This window comes from Homo sapiens, chromosome 1, assembly GCF_000001405.40.
Source record: "Homo sapiens chromosome 1, GRCh38.p14 Primary Assembly".
Lineage (NCBI taxonomy): Eukaryota > Metazoa > Chordata > Mammalia > Primates > Hominidae > Homo > Homo sapiens.
This window is the reverse complement of record NC_000001.11, coordinates 25800137-25819388: the sequence shown is the minus strand read 5'-3', so window position 1 is coordinate 25819388 and position 19252 is coordinate 25800137. Positions and strand designations below refer to the sequence as shown.

Here is a 19252-nt window from a genome sequence, read left to right as displayed (position 1 = left end):
CGGTATATTCAATGAGTTTGCTTATTAGATGGGTACTTGATGTACAAGACTCCAGAGGCTCTGTGGGAAGAGCCACATTCCTTCCAGGCTCACTAACCCACTCCCTCTTTGTGCTCCAGCCCTCACTGTCTTGGTCTGTGGCATGCAGTTCCTGGGTCACATTTCCTTCTCTGCCTTCAGCACAGCCTCGGGCTGTGCCTGGCTCCCAGGCTGGAGTTCCTTGGTTCCAAAGCCTGCAGTCCCCTCTGCCAGAGACAGAGCTGGTTTCATGGGTGAACAGCCCATGCAGTCACAACGGGCCGCATGCTCAGAATCCTGTACTTGGTTTAGTACTTTGCTGTTGCCGTCTTGAAATGATTTTCTAATAGGGGTTCTTGTGTTTTCATTTTGCACGGGGCTGTGCAAATTATGTGACTGGTCCTGGCTAGAGACCTCAGAGGTCGTCCACCCTGATCTCCACCATATCTCAAACGCTGAAGATTGACTTCCAGGTCTGGCCCTCTTCCCAGGATGGCACATTGTGTTTTAATCATTACCTTTCCCTCCTGTGCGATGGCGGATCATGCAAGTCCACGCTGGCTGTCTGTCCTGGGTGTAGATGCTGATTTGGTGTCCCACTCAGATCCCCTTGCAGGAAGAACGGAGCTCCCTACCTGGGAATTTCCTTCACCTCCCAAGCCAATGACTGATAAAAGGTCCAAAAGGCCAGTTCAGCTCTGCAGTGTGGTTTATGCCCCACAGCTCTTCCACTGTGGGTCAGGCCAAGGCTGGGCTGAGACTGTTCCTGCTCAGCATTTTTCCTTTCCCTCTTCTGCTTCCTTCCTTCTTTTACTGGTTTTTCTGGAAGTACACTCCCCCCCAGCCCCACCAAACAAACAAAACAAACAAACAAAAAAACACTTCATGCCTGTCTCAGGCTCTGCTTTTAAGACAATGATTTTAACTCCCAGATCTCTCTCAACAGAGAGCACCAGATTCTCAAAACAGTAAGTCCTACCACTTGTTCTATCGTAAAACTTATTTTGGGCAAGTCACTCAAGCCTTCGATAGGTAAGATAGTACCTGAAAGCATTCCAGCTCAACTCTGCCCCAAGAGGGAGCCACCCCATGGAAGGACGGAGCTGAGCAACATGCCACTCAAAGGAAAAGCACTTAGAACCACTCTAGTTAGTCTTCTCTAATTTTATTACAGGGCATGTTGGGGACAGGGGAGGGAAGTGTTAGAGGAGTGACAGGGCAGCCCGGGGCCCTCTCCCACCCTGAGCCTCGAGGCCTGGTGGGGGACATGAACTGCAGAGGCATCAGATAAGGCCTCAGAAAGCCCAGGCCATCATTTTCCATGGGACCAGGCTGGCTCAATGTGGAACTGGCCCTCCCAGAGCAGCAGGAGAAGGGCTCGCATGGGCTGCCCCCGTCACCTGTGCCTGACAGGATGGGGGGGGAGGCAGAGAGAGAGCATCAGACGCCCTCCCTCCCCATAAGGGGCATGGGGGATGGGGACACTTCCTCCCAGGACACAGGGAGCCTGGCTGAGCTGGCTGGCTCATGCCCCATCTGGTCTGGAGGTCAGAGGGGAGTGAGACACTCTGGTTTGAAAGGCCTTCCTTTCCACTTTGGGGAAAACAGGCAGGGAGAGAGGTGAGGGTGCCATGCCAAAAAACACCCCCAAATCCAGATGCAGACTTTGGAGCCACATGTGGGTTTGAATCTCAACTCTACCTGAGTGACCCTGGGCAAGTCACTTCACTTCCCTGAGACTCAAGTTTCATCAAGATGGGAACAATGAGCATCTGCCTCACAGGCTTGTCGTGAGGATTAAGTGAGAAGGTGCGTGTAATATTAGCGATGACTGGATGATACAAAATTAAGAACAAGGCTGGGCACGATTGCTCACGCCTGTAATCCCAGCACTTTGGGAGGCTGAGGCAGGTGGATCACCTGAGGTCAGAAGTTCCAGATCAGCCTGACCAATATGGTGAAACCCCATCTCTACTAAAAATACAAAAATTAGCCAGCCATGGTGGCATGCACCTGTAATCCCAGCTACTCGGGAGGCTGAGGCAAGAGAATTGCTTGAACCTGGGAGGTGGAGGTTGCAGTGAGCCAAGATCGAGCCATAGCACTCCAGCCTGGGTGACAGAGCAAGACTCCGTCTCAAAACAAAACAAAACAAAATTGAGAACAAGACTGGCTGGGGAAGGCTCAGTGGACACGCCCAAGGCAAGTGGGGTAACTCGGCACATAAAAGGCCCAGGAGTGGCTGCGGAGATGTCTGCCTTCCTTCTTCCTCTGCCAGGCTGAGTGAGCCCCGGGTGGGGTGAGGGGGTGGGGAGAGAACTGGGGGCTGGGGAGGGGGCAGCCTGACTTCAAGACCTTAATGAAAGAGAGTACAGGCATGCCTGTGGGCCTTTGTGGAGGATGGGACAGTGCTGGGGATCATGGATCCTCTGAGGACTGTTTTTAAAAAGCTGAAGAGGAGAAGGAAGAGAGGACTACTTCTTCCCATAGGTGCAGCTGCAAAGACATCAAGCTGGACCCATCGAGGATTTCGGATTCAGCCATCATGGGGCTGCTGCCGGGGAAGCCACTGCCCCTCCTTTCTCCTCAGCACTGGGGTTATAAAAAAATACCTACAAACCATGAGAAAGTTTGTGTAAAAACACTTTTCTGCACATATAAAAAGAGAGACTGGCCGTGGTCAGTGGCTCAGGACGTGGACCAAAGTCCCAAGAGTGGCCAAGGGGAGTCCGTGGTGCCCCAGAGGTAGAAGAGCTAGCCTGGGGCACCCCTGGTTGCCGGGACAGTGCCGGCTCTGGAGAAGGCTGTGGTGTTTGGCTGGGTTGTGCTTCTGTGGATGCAAGGTCTGAGGGGCAAGAGGGGCGGCAGGAGCGCTGGCTCCCGCAGTCCTGCAGAGACCCTGTGCTAAGGTAGGCGGTGGGAGTGCCTTGGCCCTGGGCCTCGGGAACCCCCTTAGTGAACCCCATTGCTAAAGGCAGAAACCCCTTCACAGTAAACTTCCCCAGATAGCTGGTCAGTGGCGTGGTCAGGGAAGCTGCAGGGGGTCCCGTCTGATTTCCACTCTGATGGAGGGTTCTGCCCAGAGGCTCCAGAAGACTGGCTCCTGTTGAGACTGACCCCAGCTGGGGACATCAGGCACAGGAGGGCAGTCCGGGGTATGGCCAGGAACGAAGGCTCTAGATAAACAGGGGAGCCGCCTTGGCAGCCTGGCCCCTCCTGGCTGGGGCTTCTTGATGTTTCCTGTGGGAAGGGCTGAAAGCAAGGAGAGGGTGGTGGCCCCGTCTTCCTAGCCTGCTCCTCCCTCCATTCTTCACCCCACAAGGGCCTAGACTGTGCGGCTGGCTAGGAAAGGTCCAGGGAGTTCACCCAGGCCCTGATCTGGGGGGGCCAAGCAGCTTCCAGAGCCAAATGGGTAGGGAGAGCCGAGTGACAGTCAGAGCTAGAGGTTCCTCTGCCCAGTCAGCCCAGGCATCCCTTGTCTACCCGCCACCATGGAGCCAAGGCTGTGGTGGCCACCCTCAGTGGATCTTGTACCCTCCAAGGCAGCCTAGGAGTGGGGTGGGAGTGGGCGGCATCTGCAGTCTGAAATGGGCTGAGGACCACTCTGGCTCTGAGGCGTGGGGGCCTGTGCATCAGATCCCGTCCAGGCACTCTAGGGCTGGAGGAGGGGCAGGCCACGCCGGAGTCCCTCCTTCAGGAACTGCATGTAGGTGGCCGTGGACGGGTCTTCAAAGGTGGATGAGAAGCTGAAGAGATTGCTCTCGATTTCCTCGGGCTTCACGGAGGTGATGTCCAAGAAGTAGTTGGCATTGATGTGATGGACCTGGGAGAAGGGCCGGGTGAGGCAAGTGGGGCGGAGGGGGGCCCCCAGGCTCCCTGTGCCCTCTCTTCTATGGGGAGAAGCAGGGATGCTATCAGGCCTTGACTGTCCTTGTCTGAGGTGGATGGTGGGCAGGCAGTGCTGCCGTAAGCCCTCGCCAGCACCCGACACCATCTCATCACCCTGTGTCTGACGAGGGGGCTCCTCCCTGCCTTGCCTACCAAGTGAAAACCCAACACCTTCCAACATCACCTCTTCTACTAGCCCTCTGCCCCCGCCCCCCGAAATGACCCCTCTCCTCTGTTCCTGTGACCCCGGACTCCCATCCTGAACTCCGTGCTCCCTTCTCTCACTGCAGCCTCACATTCAATGGGCCTCTCCTTTGGCCTCTCGCTCCAGAGACTGAGCTCCTTCAGCACGGGGCTGTGTCTTTATCTTTGTGCCTGGCACACAGTAGGTGCCCAGTAGATGAACAAATGAATGAATCAGCATTCAATCAACATTCATATGAATGGGAGGCCTGGTTCTCCCAACCAGGCCCAGCCTCATCCAGTTCCCCGACACCATCTCATCACCCTTGCGCCTGGGACAGCAGATGCCTTCCGCCTGGTGCCCTTTCCTTTACACCAAACCCTCACTGGACACCTCTCCCGTGACAGCCCCTGCTCCTGAACTGCTCCCATCCTAAGATCCTGAGGAAGCCGGCCCCCTCCTACAGCCCTGGGTCCCACACTAACCATGCCTTGGGACTTAAAGGATGAGGGGTCGCTTTGATCAGAAGAGCTGGAGATCTGAGGCTCAAGGGCAGGCCTCGGTTCAAAGCCAGCTGCACTTAATTGACTGCAACATTTGTCCAGTCTCTCAACTTTCTGGGCCTCCTTGTTTATAAAATGGGTATTCATGACCATCCATCTCCCAAAGCTGCTGTGAGGCCCCAGTGAGAAGACTTGCTGAGTGCTAGGTAAGGGGCCCTTAGGGAGAGGTGGGGTCTTGAATCTTGGCTCAGGGCCCTCTCCTGGTCTCTGTCACAAGGCCTGGCTCCTCCCTCCCCTTCCATCCCAGGACTGGCCGCCATGGTCCAAGGTGAGCCTTCCCTTCCAGGCTGTGTTTCTAGGGAGGCGCTGACTCTGCCTCAGGACTATGCTCACTGCTGCGCAGCCCCCGATGACCAACACCTGCATCACGATTCCTGTTTCTACACGGGGACAACGGAGGCTTAGACTGGGTAAGAGACCAGCTTGAGGCTTTGCAGCCAGGAAGTGGCAGGGACAGTCCCGAAGCCTGATGAAGTCTGCACATCCACGCCTCCTGCTGGTTGCTCCCGGGGCCCCGAGGTGCCTGGGCCCTGTGGGGTCTGAGTGGGGGTGCCTACCACGGTGCCATTGGGCAGGCAGATCATCATCTCCACGGGGAAGCTGTACTTCTCCAGGTGCAGGCCAGCCAGCTTCTGGTGGGACGAGTTCTCCTGGTTGTTCTGTGGGGACAGTTGCACACTCCTGATGCCGCGGCCCCCACCACTGTTCCGGACGCTCCTGTTCCTGCCACCTGCCCGCTCACCTGCAGTTCCTCCAGCTCCTTCACCAGGGACCAGGTGCTGATGAAGCTCTCGTTGAGCAGGGTGAGGATGGGCGAACTTTCCAGGACAGTCTCCCGGAGAGTCCGCCCTGAACCTGTTCAGGAAGACAGAAGGGTGAGGCGCCCCCACATCTTGCTGGGGTGCAATCTTGCTTTGGGGAGACCTCACGGGCTGCAGGACAGTCTCTGCACCCAAGTGAAATAACAGATTCAAAGAGCCTGAGGTAGAGTAGGTGCTGAATAAATGATAGTTGGAATTAACATCAATAATATACCAGCATCCTGGGCTGAGATTAGGGTTAGGGGTTCTACCTGGCCCTGGGGACTTGCAGACAGTGACAGCTTCTTAAATCCAATGAACGCTCTGTGTCCCAGGGCCTTCACACAGGCTGTTCCTCTACCTGGAACACTCCATCCGGTCACTTGAGAAACTCCTACTCATCCTTCAAAGTCTCAGCGTAAATATCACTGTCTTCACAAAGCCTTCCCTGACCCCCAGTTATACACTCTGGTGCCACTCTGGACTGTCCCCTGTAGAACACTCACCGTGCTTGTACTGACTCATTTGGTGTCTGCCTTTGCACTGTGTCTCCCCCTTTGAGGGCAGGGACCCCTTCTGCCTTCCTCACTGTGGGACGCAAGCACCCAGCCCACTGCTGCACTGACGGTTGACGGGGTGAGGGTGGGGCACTGTTTTGTTCATCTTTGTGCCCACTGCCAGACACCCAAAGGACGTTGCATCTAGGGGGCCTCTGGTGAATTTCCTGAATCAATTAACACAAGCCCAGCCTCTGGCCCGATTTTTTCTCTTACACGTATATAACACTTTACAGTGTATGCGGCACTTTCACCTCCATGTCCACAGCTATGAGAGGTAAGTGTGTTATCCCCTCTTACTATTGAGAAAACTGAGGCTCACAGAGGGGAAGACACTTGGTCAAGGTTACCAAGCTGACAATGGCTGAGTTTGAACCCAGTCTGCCAGGGCCCTTTCTTCAGCATCTGGTAGCTCCCTCTGGGCTCAGCACAGAAACCCCCAAGCCCTCACCCCACGCCCCTACCATGGGCAGTCCCTGAGGCCCTCACAACTCAACAGAAGAGTCCCATTGGTCTCAGAGCCTCTGGTACCCCACAAGGTGTGGACTTTCCCACTGCTCCCCTTAGATCCAGCCGGGCCCCTCACCTCAGCAGGACTGGTCATCCAGGGCCCCCCACAGCAGGATTGAGTGCACCAGCTTGTTCTCAGCCTTGGCTCGGTCGAAGGCCTCAGTGAACGGCAAGTAGGAGACCTGGGGCCACACCGAGACAGAGCGAAGCCATCATCAAAGCGGCCAGGGTCCCACTCGGGCTGAGTCTGTAGTGTGTGCAAGTGTGTGTGTGTGTGTGTGTGTGTGTGTGTGTGTGTGTGTGTTTGTGTGTAGGCATATATATTTGTGTGTATGTCTGTGTATATGTACATTTGTATGTGTATATATGTTTGTGTATGTTTGTATATGTGTGTATGTGTGTGTGTATATATATGTTAGTGTGTGTGTTTGTATGTGTGTGAAGTGGGTGCTACTAAGCCAGGGGATGGATGTCTCCTCCAAGTTCTATTTATTATTATTATTTTCATTTATTTTTTATTTTGAGATGGAGTCTCACTCTGTTGCCCAGGCTGGAGTGCAGTGGCGCAATCATAGCTCATTGCAGCCTTGAACTCCTGGGCTCAAACAGTCCTCCTGCCTCAGCCTCCCCAAAGCTTTGGTACTACAGGTGCGTGCTACCACCACCCCCAGGTAATTAAAAAAATTCTTTTGTAGATATGGGGTCTCGCTATGTTGCCCAGATTGCTCTTGAACTCCTGGCCACAAGTGATTCTCTGCCTCAGCCTCCCAAAGTTTTGGATTATAGGCATGAGCCATTGCACCTGGCCTCTTCCTCCAAGTTCTGAATGGCAGCGGGGAGGCCCCGCTGGCACAGCTGGGCCCAACAGTGAGACAGCCTCAGTAGCAAGCCCTGCACACATACCAGCGTCTGTGCCCAGCTGCTGCTCCACAGCTCCCAGCCTCTGCCCATGCAGCCTGACCCTGGCCTTCACCCCTGCCCAGCCTCACCTTCTTGAAGGGGTACATGGCCACCTCCAGGCGCCGGGCAGCCTCCTCCCAGCTCAGCTCCTGCTGCCACTTGATCTCCTCAAACACAAACTGCAGGGGCTCCCCTGAAGGCAGGTGGCTGTCGATCATGCTGCCATCCTCATCCAGGATCACGGAGGGCACAGAGGGGCCCGTGGCCTCCAGCTCCATCTGGGCCAGAGGTCAGTGGTAGGGGGAAGGCTCAGAGATGGGCAAGAATCCTCAGGGGCTCCCCTAGAGACCCTCCAAAATGCTCCACTCATTGCAGAGGGAGGGCGGGGCCCTGCAGCCGAGCCCACCTGGATGGGAGCCTCCTGTGCGCTCACCTGGGGTATGTAGCCGATGTCCACCTCCATGTTGCTGCTTTCACTGGCCCCGTAAAGCCACTCCATGTCCACATTCAGAGACCTGGGATGGCCAGGGCAGAGTGACACCATCATCAAAGCCCATTATCTGTGTCACACTTTATCTCACATAATACCTGCAACTGTCTCCACTTTCCAGATGAGGACACTGAGGTTTCTCAAGGTGAACACCTGCTCTCAGAGCCACTGGGATTCTGGCTGCAGAGCCCTGGCCCTCTTCCCCACCAGGCTGCCCCTTCCTAAGGCACTGGAGCCACTTCACCATCCGCCAGCCCTGCCCCTCGCAATTCACAAAGGGCCTGCACAGCCATGGCCCGTGTACTCTCCAGGACCCTTTGAAGCAGAGAGATGGCCAGTGCCTCAAGGCGGGTCACAGGGTGGGGCAGGAATGAAAACGAGCACCGTGGTCCCTGCACAGGCCTCTGGCGGGCAGCAGGAAATCTGAGCCGAGCAGTGCAATCTGCAGATCCGCCGCACGAGGGAGCCCCAGCACTGGCAAACCACCACCTCCGCAGCAGGGGGCACAGAGGGCAGAGCTAGGTAACCCCCGGGGGTCAGCAGTCCCTGGTGCCTGGTCCTCAGACATGAGCCCAGGAACAGCTGGTCCTGGAGCTGGCCACTGCCTCTCTCCTCCTGTCCCATACAGTCCAGGCCCCCTCCTCAACAACCCTGCGATGGAGGCAGGTGTGCCCAGCCCTAGGTGAGCAGATGGAGGGCTTGTGCCCTCCTCTTCCTTTTCCCTTTGACCGGGAAGCCCCTGCCCTTCCCACTCTGGGGAGGGAGGGAAGCCACCCCCACTCCTAGGGGCAATTTTCTCTTCCCATGTTATCCCGACCATCCTCTCACGCCTGCCCTGTGGGTGAAGTAGGCCAGGAGTCAGTCTCCCATCCGGCAGATGAGGAAACAGGCCTACAGAGGGCCAGGGCCTTGCCCACAGCCACACAGCCAATGGGTTCCACAGCAGAGACTTAACTGCAGACCTCCTGGCTCCCAGCCAGGTCTCATCCCTGTAGAGCGGTCACTCAGGCCCACTCGGTGGCCACTTGCTATCAGTTAGGAATCTGGACAAACTTGAAGCCAGGGCCTCCGGGGTCCTCTACTCTGCTGACAGGTGGCCAGCCCTGAGGAGGTGAGGCAAGCAGGTGGCTGGTGTAGCACCGTCCCGGAAGCCCCTCTGGGGCTCTGCAGCAGTGGAGGGCCTGCCCTTGGCCTTTGGATGTGCTGTTCCTCTGCCCAGCAAAACCCTCAGAGCCCTGATCTCTGCTGAGATGACCTTTTTCTTCTGGGAAGCCTTCCTGGACCCCACAGCTGGGTCCCTGCCTAGCTGCTGGCCTTCCTCTTGGTGGCGTGCACAGGCTGCGGTTACAGCTCTGCCTGGGGCCTGTCAGCAGTATGAGGGCGGGGAGGCCCAGCTTCAGGAAGGGTCTGCGGACTGCTGCACTGGGTCCCAGGCACAGAGGTGGAGGGCCAGGCCACGGGTGCCTGGGAAGAGCTGGTGGGTGATCAGCTCATTCTCTTGCCTGCCTCATGCCGCCTCCTGCCACGTCAGCCCCATGAGATGGGCTCTGGGGAGCAAAGGAAGGGGCAGAGACAGAAGAGGCCCCTAGGCTCCTGGAGCTGGGGAGCAGGACAAGCTGTAGGAGGGAGCCAAGGCTGGGCCAGGGTCAAGCTCCCACCTGTGGTTGGGCACGAAGAGCCGGAAGTCGCGGACGTGGGTGGCGTCTTTGGAGAGGATGATGTGGCCGGTGAACTGAGCAGGGGAGAACCAAAAGGGGAAGTCGGGCGGCTCACTGAGCTGGAACTCGGCATGGATCCTGTGGGGAAGGGGATCTGCTGCACCAGAGCTGCCCACCTTCTCCCCAGGAGCCCGGGAAGCCTTGGCCAGAATCATCAGGGAGAGGAGGCTGAGTGTGGGGGTGGAGGTGGATGGGCCAGTGGGCAGCAGCGAGGCTCTCCAAATGCTGCTCATCCTTCGAGGCCCGGGTCACATGCCCCTCCTCTGGAAGCCCTGCCTGGACCCCCTCCCCCAGCCTTCACAGCTTCTGGAGGGCATGTGTGACTGGGTGTCCTTCCCACTTCTGTGTGGATGGCACAACCATGGCTACCAGCCCCGTGCCAAGCAAGTTCCACAACTTTTCTTTCTGAACCCTCACGTGCCTTACGAGGAAGTCATCAGCACCCGGATCCACAGGTGAGAAAACTGAGGCTCAGAGAGCCAAAGCTGCTTGCCCAAGACGGCAGTGGGAGGAGAGGTGGAGCTGGGGGGCTCAAGCTGGGCCCTCCCCTCTGGGCGCTGTACCGTCATGCCTCCCCGGTGCTCCAGGCCAGCCAGTGTGGCCCACTCACCGGAACATCACAGTGTAGTAGAAGTCGCTGATGGCAGTCAGGCAGGCCACAGCTCCCTGAGGGGCAAAGCGGGTCTTCACAAAGGGCCGAGGGTGGAACATGCTCAGGAGCCGGTGGATGATGACCTGGGGGCGGCGGGAGGCACGTACTGGCTTGCTGGGTCCCGCTGGGCCTGGATCCGCTGGGGTGGGGGTCAGCCCAGACCCGACGGCCCAGGGGCCCCATGGGGAGGGGGCAGGTCCAGAGGAAGGCAGGAGAGCAGGTGGAGCAGGCCTGGCACTGGGGTCCAGGCGCAGACAGAGGGGTGGCCACTCCTGGGCTCGGGCGGAGGGGCCCCACGTCGCACCCCAGCTGTCCTCACCTCCTTGCCCTTGGGCGGCGGTGGATAGAAGCGGTTGTTGGACAGGTAGCCAGTGAACATGCTCAGCTCACTGGGGATGATCCACCAGGGCTCACCCAGCTCCTGGCCTGGCGGGGGAAGGAAGGGCTGGAAGTGGCGGGTGGCAAACACTGCACTTGGTGAGGCGGCGGCTGTCCAGTTTCGGAGGCCGGACAGGGCGAGGCGGGAGACCTGGGGCGGGGGAAAGCAAAGCTCCAGGAATCTGAGAACCTGACTCCGGGGTCTCCTGTACCATGTGGGTGGAGGTCTCCCTCAAGCCCCGAGCCAGCCCACACCAAGGGAGCAGATGGACCCCAGGGAGGTTCCTGCCCTTATGATGGCCACAAGCTTAGCAATATCCCGCCAGAGAGAGGCTCCTCTCCCTGCTGCAGTGCCTCTGCAGCCCACCCAGGCACAGCCCACCCAGGCACAGCCCACCCAGGCACAGCCCACCCAGGCACAGCCCACCCAGGCGCAGCCCAGGCCAGAGCAGCTCGCTCGAGGGCAAGGTTGGAATGGGGATGGTGGGGCTCTGTGCCTCACATAGTCCCACCTCCATCCTATGCATAAGCCCATGGGCCAGCCTTGGGTGCCACCACCCTGCCTGGCTTCCCTGGCCCTCCAGCAGCCCTACTCTCCCTCCCCAGTCTCCTCTCCAAGTCTCCTCCCAGGGACTAATGTCCCACTGGCCAGCTCAGGGTTTCGGTTTGGAGCTAAGTCCGATGAGGGTGGTGGCCAATCATGTTTGAGGTGAAATCTCTAGGGTCAAGAGCAGGATGAGACCACAGGGAAGGGGAAGGAAGGCCACCCCCAGAAGGGCCCTGCCTTAAGTACAGCCTGCCCCACCCTGGGCAAAAGGCCTTCCCTAAGCCCGAGTCCTCATCGGTGACCTGCCTCGCCTCTGTCTGACAAGCTGATGGCTCGGAGAGGACGCTCAGAGACCACAGAGCTGTCTACACGTCGGCCAGCATTTGGGGAACAGCAGATTCCCTCTTCTGTCGCCACCTCCCTGGCAGCAGGAGCTCAGGCTTGGTGGGAGGTAGGAGGAAAGCAGGCAGGGAGCTCCCACAGAGACAGATTTAACAGGCGGTTCTCAAGGCAGAGCTGGCTGTGCCGGGCCAGGCCGAGCCCGCCTTCCTGGGTCCTGCTTGTAGGCTTGCCACCCCCTGCAGGGGACCTGCCAGCGATGGGTGCTGGGCTTGCTGGGGCTCTGCTCGGGGGCCAGGGCTAGGGGTGCTGCTCCTGCCTCACCCCAGTTCTTGTTGTCTGTGCGGACTTATCTGCTCAGACCAGCCCATCACTGCCAAATCCATGGAGATGGGTTCCCCATCTCCTTTTGTGGAAGGTCAGACCGGTTTTGACCACTTCCTGGACTCCTGCCTATCTGCTGCACTGTCTCCTTGGCTGAGAAGAACACGTTTATTCATTTGTTCATTCCACAAAATGTTTTATGCACCTACTGTATAGGAAGTTTCTATCAGGGTACACTGTGCACCCTGTCTTCTTGGAGCTTATAGTGGGAGACGGCAAGTAAACAGGACCCAAAACGGGCAATGCCCTTCCCTGTGAGCTCCTCCTTGGAATTTCTGTCCCTCCCTGAACCTGCAGCGATGAGGTTAAGAAAGGGGCTCCCGGCCGGGCATGGTGGCTCACACCTGTAATCCCTATAATCCCTGTACGCCTATAATTCGGGAGGCCGAGGCAGGTGGATCACGAGGTCAGGAGATTGAAACCATCCTGGTCAACATGGTGAAACCCCGTCTCTACTAAAAATACAAAGAAATTAGCCGGGTGTGGTGGTGGGCACCTGTAGTCCCAGCTACTCGGGAGGCTGAAGCAGGAGAATAGCTTGAACCCGGGAGGCGGAGCTTGCAGTGAGCAGAGATCGCGCCACTGCACTCCAGCCTGGGCGACAGAGCGAGACTCCGTCCCAAAAAAAAAAAAAAAAAAAAGAAAGGGGCTCCCCAGCACTGCTTCCCTGGGCTGGGCCAGGTGGCAATTCCGCCACAGGTGCCAGCCTCAAGGTCATTCCCAAGTTTCTTTTGCCATGTGGCTGCCAGGCTCTAGAGTTGGGCACTGCCAAGGGGCTGCTGCTGGGCAGCAGACATCCAACATCCCCTGGGGACCTCAACTTCAACATGTGCAGACTGACCTCATTCTCTATCCCCTACTCCCTCCCCGCCTACAGTCCCCATCTGGGCAAGCAGCCCACCATGCCCCTGGTCACAGCCAGAAGCCTGAGTCATCCAACTCCTGCCCACCCACTGTCCATGAGGAGCCGCTCCCTGCCCTTCCTTCCCCAGCATCCTCCAGGCTGCCCTTACTCTCCATCTCCTCCGTCTCCCCTCCAGAACTGGTCTTCTTGCCTCCCACTTCTCCCCATTCTACACATGCCCCGTCCCTGGCCTGGAGAGCCCAGGTCTGATGAGAAAGCTGTCTTATTTAAAATCTGCACGATATTCAGCCACCATAGAATGAAGGCCAAAGGCAGGCAACAAAGCCCTTGGTGGGGTCTGGCACCTTCTCTCCTGGCCCCACTGATTGGGATGCCCCTGTGTGGGTCCTGCATGCCCCCTGGGCCCAGACACACCCACTGCCTGGCCTCAGTGACCAGCCTGGCACTCCTGCCTTCAGGCCTCTGTTCGTGCTGAAGTGGCATTGGCTGAGATGAAAAGGCTGGGTCGGGCTGTGTGGGCTGGGCACAGAGAGGCAGTGTTCCTGGCAGAGGGAACCACATGTGAGAAGGCTCCCAGTTGGAAGAAAGCCTGGGGATTTGGAAGGAAGGAAGTCTGGTGTGGTTGGAACAGAGGAAGCCCACAGAGGGGAGGAGAGAGTGGGAGAGAGTGCAAAAGGGCAGGCAGGGGCTGAGGCAGCTTCATCCTGCAATGCGCTCAGGACCCTGTCCAAAGGGCCTTGGGTTGGGGAGGGGCTGGCAAGGAGAGCATCTGTCCACCTCCTACCTCCACCTTCTCAGGTGCCCTCCCCACCCCACAGCCCTCTGCTGGGGACCAAACCTCAGGTCTAGATCATCAGAGTTCAACAGAGTACCTATCAGGAGCCAGGCATCATGCTATGCCCCGTGGGGAAGAGATGGATGTGTGGGAAGTAATCATCATAGTGTGTGGGAAATAATCATCATAGTATGTGGGGCGGCTGCACTAACAGGGTCTCTACTGCACTGCTGCTTCCTCCGAGACCCCCCCAACCTGTGCTCAGTCACCCTGCTGAGCCCTCCTCATCCTGCAGTCTACCAGATGTCACTTCCTCTAGGAAGCTATCCCAGATTCCCCAGTCTGGGGCAGAAGCTAATGCTTCTCTCTCCTGCTCCCCCAGCAGGCTGTATGCCTGGACAGCAGGGACAACATCACCGCACATGGACCTCCAGGGCCTGGCTCTAGTGGGCACACAGAGGGCAGAGGAAAGATGGATGAATGGAGCAGAAACTCATCTTCGGGATACACACAGATGACCCCACTGCCTGTGGTCCCCAACTCACCCCTAGGAAGCCATCTTTGCTCTTGGTCATGGTCTCCGGGAGCAGAGGCTGGAATCGGGCTTCTATGGTGAGCGTCTCCTCGCTAGGGTCAGGGGGCAACTCCTCCTCCTCGCAGCTGGCCGCGGGAGTTGACCCTATGAGACACAGACATCGGAGAGGCACTGCCCTTATGCTACAGGGCTCACCTCTCCCTCATCATCCACACTAGCTGGTGATTAACGGAGCCAGGCAGGGGGTGGGGGTAGCTGGGGTGTTAACAGTCACCAAAGTAACAACCAGTGTATCGCATTTTAGTTTCAGGATAGCCCAGGGAGGCAGATAATAACATTACCAACTCCATTTGACAAATGAGAAAGTGTTCAGAGAGGTAAAGTCACTTCCCCAGGTCACATAGCTAGATGGTGGGGGAATCGGGATTGAAACCCAGGCCTGTTTACTCGAAACCCATGACCAACCACGACCCTTTTCTAGGTCTTCTGGGACTGAGAGGAACTCAGTCAAGGGAACCGGAGTAATGAATGAAGCAAGAAACAGAAACAGGCTCTTTGGTGTCATAGGGAGAGCACTGGTTTGAGAGTGAGGAGACCCACTTTCCCCTGCTTTTTTTTTTTTTGCGGCGGGGGGGGGGGGGCGGGGGGGGCATTGCCCCAGCTGTAGGAGGGGCTGGACTGGCAGTGTGGCTGGATTTGATTTCTTGGATCTTTTCCTGCTCAGAGATCTGGCAAGTCTATAACCTTCCCAGTATAGAAGGATTCATTTTGAAAGGCTAAGGGACAAATGACGCCTATTTCAAAAGGGGTGAGTAATAGTCACCAGTAACAAAGTGTAGCCAGCGGAGGGCGGGGGTGGGTCTTGCCCTGTCTGCCCTCTCAGGGCAGGGTAGTGGTACAGAGATGATGCCTGGCATTTGCTGACTGACTGGCTAGCAGGCTGAATGATGCATTAAAGCAGTTCTCAACCAGAAGTCCTCAAAATCACCCAGGATGCCTTTAAACTACAGATGCTCACAACCCACCTCAGACCTACTGAATGAGAATCTGCAGGGGTGAGAGTCTGGAATCTGCCCTTTTAATGAGCACTCCCTGCTGCTCCTGATCCAAATCCCTATTCTGAAGAATCACTTATTTCTGTATTTGTAAGTCAATGAGGTAAAACTTTCCAAAACGCAATCTAGAAACCCAAGAAGAAGGGAGCAACAGGAATATGCAGGGTTATTAGTAAGCCTTGCTTATTCAATTATTTTACTGATATCACAGATAAATATTAATAATAATGATTCCCAAGGCAGCTCATGCCTGTAATCCCAGCACTTTGGGAAGCCGAAGCAGGCGGATCACCTGAGGTTAGGAGTTTGAGACCAGCTTGGCCAACATGATGAAACCCCGTCTCTACTAAAAATGCCAAAATTAGCTGGGCATGGTGGTGCACCCCTGTAATCCCAGCCCAGCTACTCTGGAGGCTGAGACAGGAGAATTGCTTGAACCTGGGAGGCAGAGGTTGCAGTGAGCCGAGCACTCCAGCCTGGGTGACAGAGCAAGACTCCATCTCAAAAAAAAAAACAAAAAAACAAAAAAAACAAAAACCAATAATAATGATGATGCCCCCACCACCTAGCTGTATGATCTGGGGAAGGGACTTCACCTCTCTGAGCCTTTGCTTTCTCATTTGTCAAATGGAGTTGGTAATAATGTTATTAATTATAATACTACTACTCAGCATTTTACAGCCCTTTGGCTTTTTAATAAAAAGTTTTATTTCCTGACTTATGAGTAACATTTGCCCATTATAGGTAATTTGTAAAAATTTTAAGGGATAAGGCAGAAAATTAAACACTCTCATAACTCTACCAAATAGAACTAGTTGGCTCTATTTCCTGCTTGGATTTGATTCCCCCTGCCCTTTGATTTCTCAATACTTGGTCCATTTTTGCATTCACAGCCTAGAGGTAATGGGGGAATTCTTTTACCCTGATGGAGAAAAAGATTTCTGTGCAAAAAATTAAAAGTGCACCTCAAGCTTTGCTAACATGTCATTATGAGAGAACTCTCACTCTGGCCACAAAAAAGGACAAAGAGGTAGCTGTGCAAATGCGCAGAAGTGTATGCAAAACAAGAAGTACAGGCAAGGCCACAAGGGGACGACCTGTTTATCTGCCCATCTGCTTTCATGACAGAACTGCCTGCCACTGAGAGACATTGATACACATCCACTCCAGCTCATTAGCATTTTTCATCCAACCTTCCTCCTCTAGCAGTGATCACAGGTCACCGGGCCAGCACGGAACCAACCTACACAATACACCCCTGAAAAACAGCAGGCTAGTGACAGCGCTTTGAAGCTTATGCACCCGAAACAGCCAGCATGTCTCTCTTGCCTTTCCCATCAATGACTGACTTACACCAGGCAATCTGGGTAATAAGTAGGTGTCCAAGATCCTAAGTTCAAGAAACGTCACAAGAAGTTGGAAGAAAATGGGCACAGAGGTTAGGGTGGTGGTGGGGCAGCGAGAGAAGCGTTTTATAATTCATTAGAATGTTTCAGCCCCTCATCTTTAACCAAATAAATAAATAAATAATCACTGACTGCACTAGGCAAAAATGATAGCAAGAATGGAATAGGAGGCCGGGCACAGTGGCTCACGCCTGTAATCCCAGCACTTTGGGAGGCTGAGGCGGGCAGATCTCTTGAGGTCAGGAGTTCGAGACCAGCCTAGCTAACAAGGCAAAACCCCGTCTCTACTAAAAATACAAAATCAGCCCGGCATGGTGGTAGGTGCCTGTAATCCCAGCTCCTGGGAAGGCTGAGGCAGGGGAATTGCTTGAACCAGGGAGGCAGAAGCTGCAGTGAGCTGAGATTATGTCACTGCACTCCAGTCTAGGTGACAGAGGAAGACTCCATCTCAACAACAACAACAACAAAGAATGGAATAGAAATCTGAAAGCACCTAAGCAAAGTTTCAGATTTAGTAATGATAGTTATAGCTCCTGGCTGGGTGCGGTGGTTCACACCTGTAATTCCAGCACTTTGGGAGGCCAAGGTAAGAGGATCGTTTGAGCCCAGGAATTTGAGACCAGCCTAGGCAACGTAGTGAGACTGCATCTCTACAAAAATAGAAAAATCAGCTGGGCGTGGTAGCACATGCCTGTGGTCCCACTTACTCAGGAGGCTGAGGCAGGAGGATCAATTGAGCCAGGGAAGTTGAGGCTGCAGTGAGCTGTGACTGCACCACTGCACTCCAGTCTGGGTGACAGAACAAGACCCTGTCTCAAAAAAAAAAAAAAAGTTATAGCTGCTGTCTATTGGAAATCTACTGCATATTCGTCACTGTGCATTTCTTTTCTCTACTGAAACCTGTGAGCTGGTGCAGGACCCTGAAGCCAGATGGCCCCAGTTCTAGCCCTGGCTCCGCACCTTTCTAGCTTGGGAAACTGGGGAGCCTGCCTGTGCCTTAGTCTCTCAGACTATTAAACATGGGGATCATGACAGTGTCCATCTCCCAGGGCTACTGTGAGGTTTAAAGAGAGAACCCACATGAAATACTTAAATACCTGGCACGGAGGAGGTGGCCAAGGAATGGTTTTTTTGTTTTTTTGGTTTTGCTTTGTTTGTTTGTTTTGAGACAGGGTCTCACTCTGTCGCCCAGGCTGGAGTGCAGTGGTGTGATGTCAACTCACTGCAACCTCTGCCTCATGGCCTCTAGTGATCCTCCCACCTCAGCCTCCCAAGTAGCTGGGACTACAGGTGTGCACCACCACACCCGGCTAATTTTTGTATTTTTGTAGGGATGGGGTTTTGCCATGTTGACCAGGCTGGTCTTGAACTCCTGGGCTCAAGCGATCCTTCCATCTCCCAAAGTGTTGGGATTACAGGCGTGAGCTACCTCGCAGACCAAAGAATGTTAGCTGGTATTATTGCTCACAAGTCTGAGAAAAACAGGCTCAGGGGTTGCTGGAGCAGCTCGCCCAAGCCACCAGCTACAAAGTGTCAGAGCTGGGAGGAGTCCAGGGCCTCTGAGATCCCACGAGCTTCCCTCCACTCCAGACGGCCGCTCCTGCTCAGTGAAGACACCGTTGGCCAAGGCGCCCTCCTCCCCAGCCGCCAGTCTCTCCTGGTACCTGTTAGCTTCTCAGCAATGGGTTTGAACTCCTCAGGGCTGATGTACATATCCCCGTCAGTGTCCAAGGAGGAAAAGAGAAAAAGGCCATCTGTCCCCAGGGTCTTCAGCGCCAGTTCCTGCTTGGGAGGAGAGACTGGGCTGGGCACCATTTGGCGGCCTGGTCTCCTGGTCCCCAACAGGCAGTTGCTTCCGCATGGAGCCCCTTCTCCCACCATCTTCCTGAGCTCTCCCAGTGCCTCCCGGTCCATCTGTGCAAATGTTGCCTCTGAACTGCCCCAGAGCCTCCAGTCCCTCCTGGTCCCTGCTCATCCACTGTCTGGTCCGACTGCCCCCTCCCAGTTTGTCCCCACTCCGCCTTCCGCCTGGCCCTGGCTGCTTGGCCCTGTTCCTCCTGCACCTTCTGTCCTCTCCTGTGTCCCCTCCTCACTGTCCCAGGGCTCCCCAGTAACCCTTTAAGACTCTGCGGGAACCAGCTTCACTGTGTCCAGGTCACCCCTCTGGATAGAGACCCCTCCAGTCTGTCCCAGCCCCACACTGGCCTCCGTTCGCCTTCCCCCCATCAGCCCGGCCCCAGGCACCCCCCACCCGCCTCCCGTGTCCCCTCCTTCCCGTGCTCCCTCCCGTCCAGTCCCCCTCCGCCCTCCGCCTCCCCCGACTCGTCCATGCCCATGTCCCCCCTGCTGCCGAGGCTGGGTCCTTCAGTCCCCGCTCCCGCGCTCCCGCCCCAGCCAGCTCGGGCCCGGACCTGCCGCGCGGCCGCCTGGGCCTCGGCGTGGCGGGCGCAGACCCGGACGGCGGCGGCAGCGGCGGCGGCCAGCAGGGCTCCGAGCAGCGCCAGGGAACGGGCGCGGCGGCGCGGTGGCGCGGGAGGCTGCGCGGCGGGGCCGGGGCTGGGCGGCCCGCGTTGGCCCGGCCGGGCCCGGCCCATGGCTGCGGCTGGCGGCGGCTGCCGGCGGCCCGGGAAGCGAAAGAGCGGGGCGGGGCCGGGGGCGGGGCGGCCGGGGCGGGGAGGGGCGGGGCGG

At 56.4% G+C, this 19252-nt stretch overlaps 1 protein-coding gene across 2 annotated transcripts, besides 2 other annotated features; it reads right to left on the bottom strand.

The window, feature by feature from the left end:
- Nucleotides 892–1392: an enhancer, noted in NCBI's record as "H3K4me1 hESC enhancer chr1:26144488-26144988 (GRCh37/hg19 assembly coordinates)". NCBI's record gives its function as "activates a minimal SCP1, AML or CMV promoter by ChIP-STARR-seq in naive H9 embryonic stem cells {active_cell/tissue: H9 hESC(naive)}" and the evidence as "EXISTENCE:reporter gene assay evidence [ECO:0000049][PMID:30033119]".
- On the bottom strand, nucleotides 1168–19196 carry SELENON (selenoprotein N). Of its 2 annotated transcripts, NM_020451.3 has the most exons (13): nucleotides 18976–19196; nucleotides 18229–18346; nucleotides 17272–17373; nucleotides 14114–14247; nucleotides 10600–10809; nucleotides 10239–10363; nucleotides 9569–9706; nucleotides 7854–7935; nucleotides 7510–7698; nucleotides 6597–6702; nucleotides 5396–5508; nucleotides 5211–5312; nucleotides 1168–3841 (listed from the first exon to the last, which is right to left on the bottom strand). In NM_020451.3, the coding sequence occupies exons 1-13, from the start codon at nucleotides 19156–19158 to the stop codon at nucleotides 3671–3673; spliced, it is 1773 nt and encodes a 590-aa protein (NP_065184.2). In that variant the 5' UTR covers nucleotides 19159–19196; the 3' UTR covers nucleotides 1168–3670. The 2 variants fall into 2 exon arrangements, with proteins under 2 accessions (NP_065184.2, NP_996809.1); NM_206926.2 differs by lacking the exon at nucleotides 17272–17373.
- Nucleotides 7888–8762: an enhancer, noted in NCBI's record as "H3K4me1 hESC enhancer chr1:26137118-26137992 (GRCh37/hg19 assembly coordinates)". NCBI's record gives its function as "activates a minimal SCP1, AML or CMV promoter by ChIP-STARR-seq in primed H9 embryonic stem cells {active_cell/tissue: H9 hESC(primed)}" and the evidence as "EXISTENCE:reporter gene assay evidence [ECO:0000049][PMID:30033119]".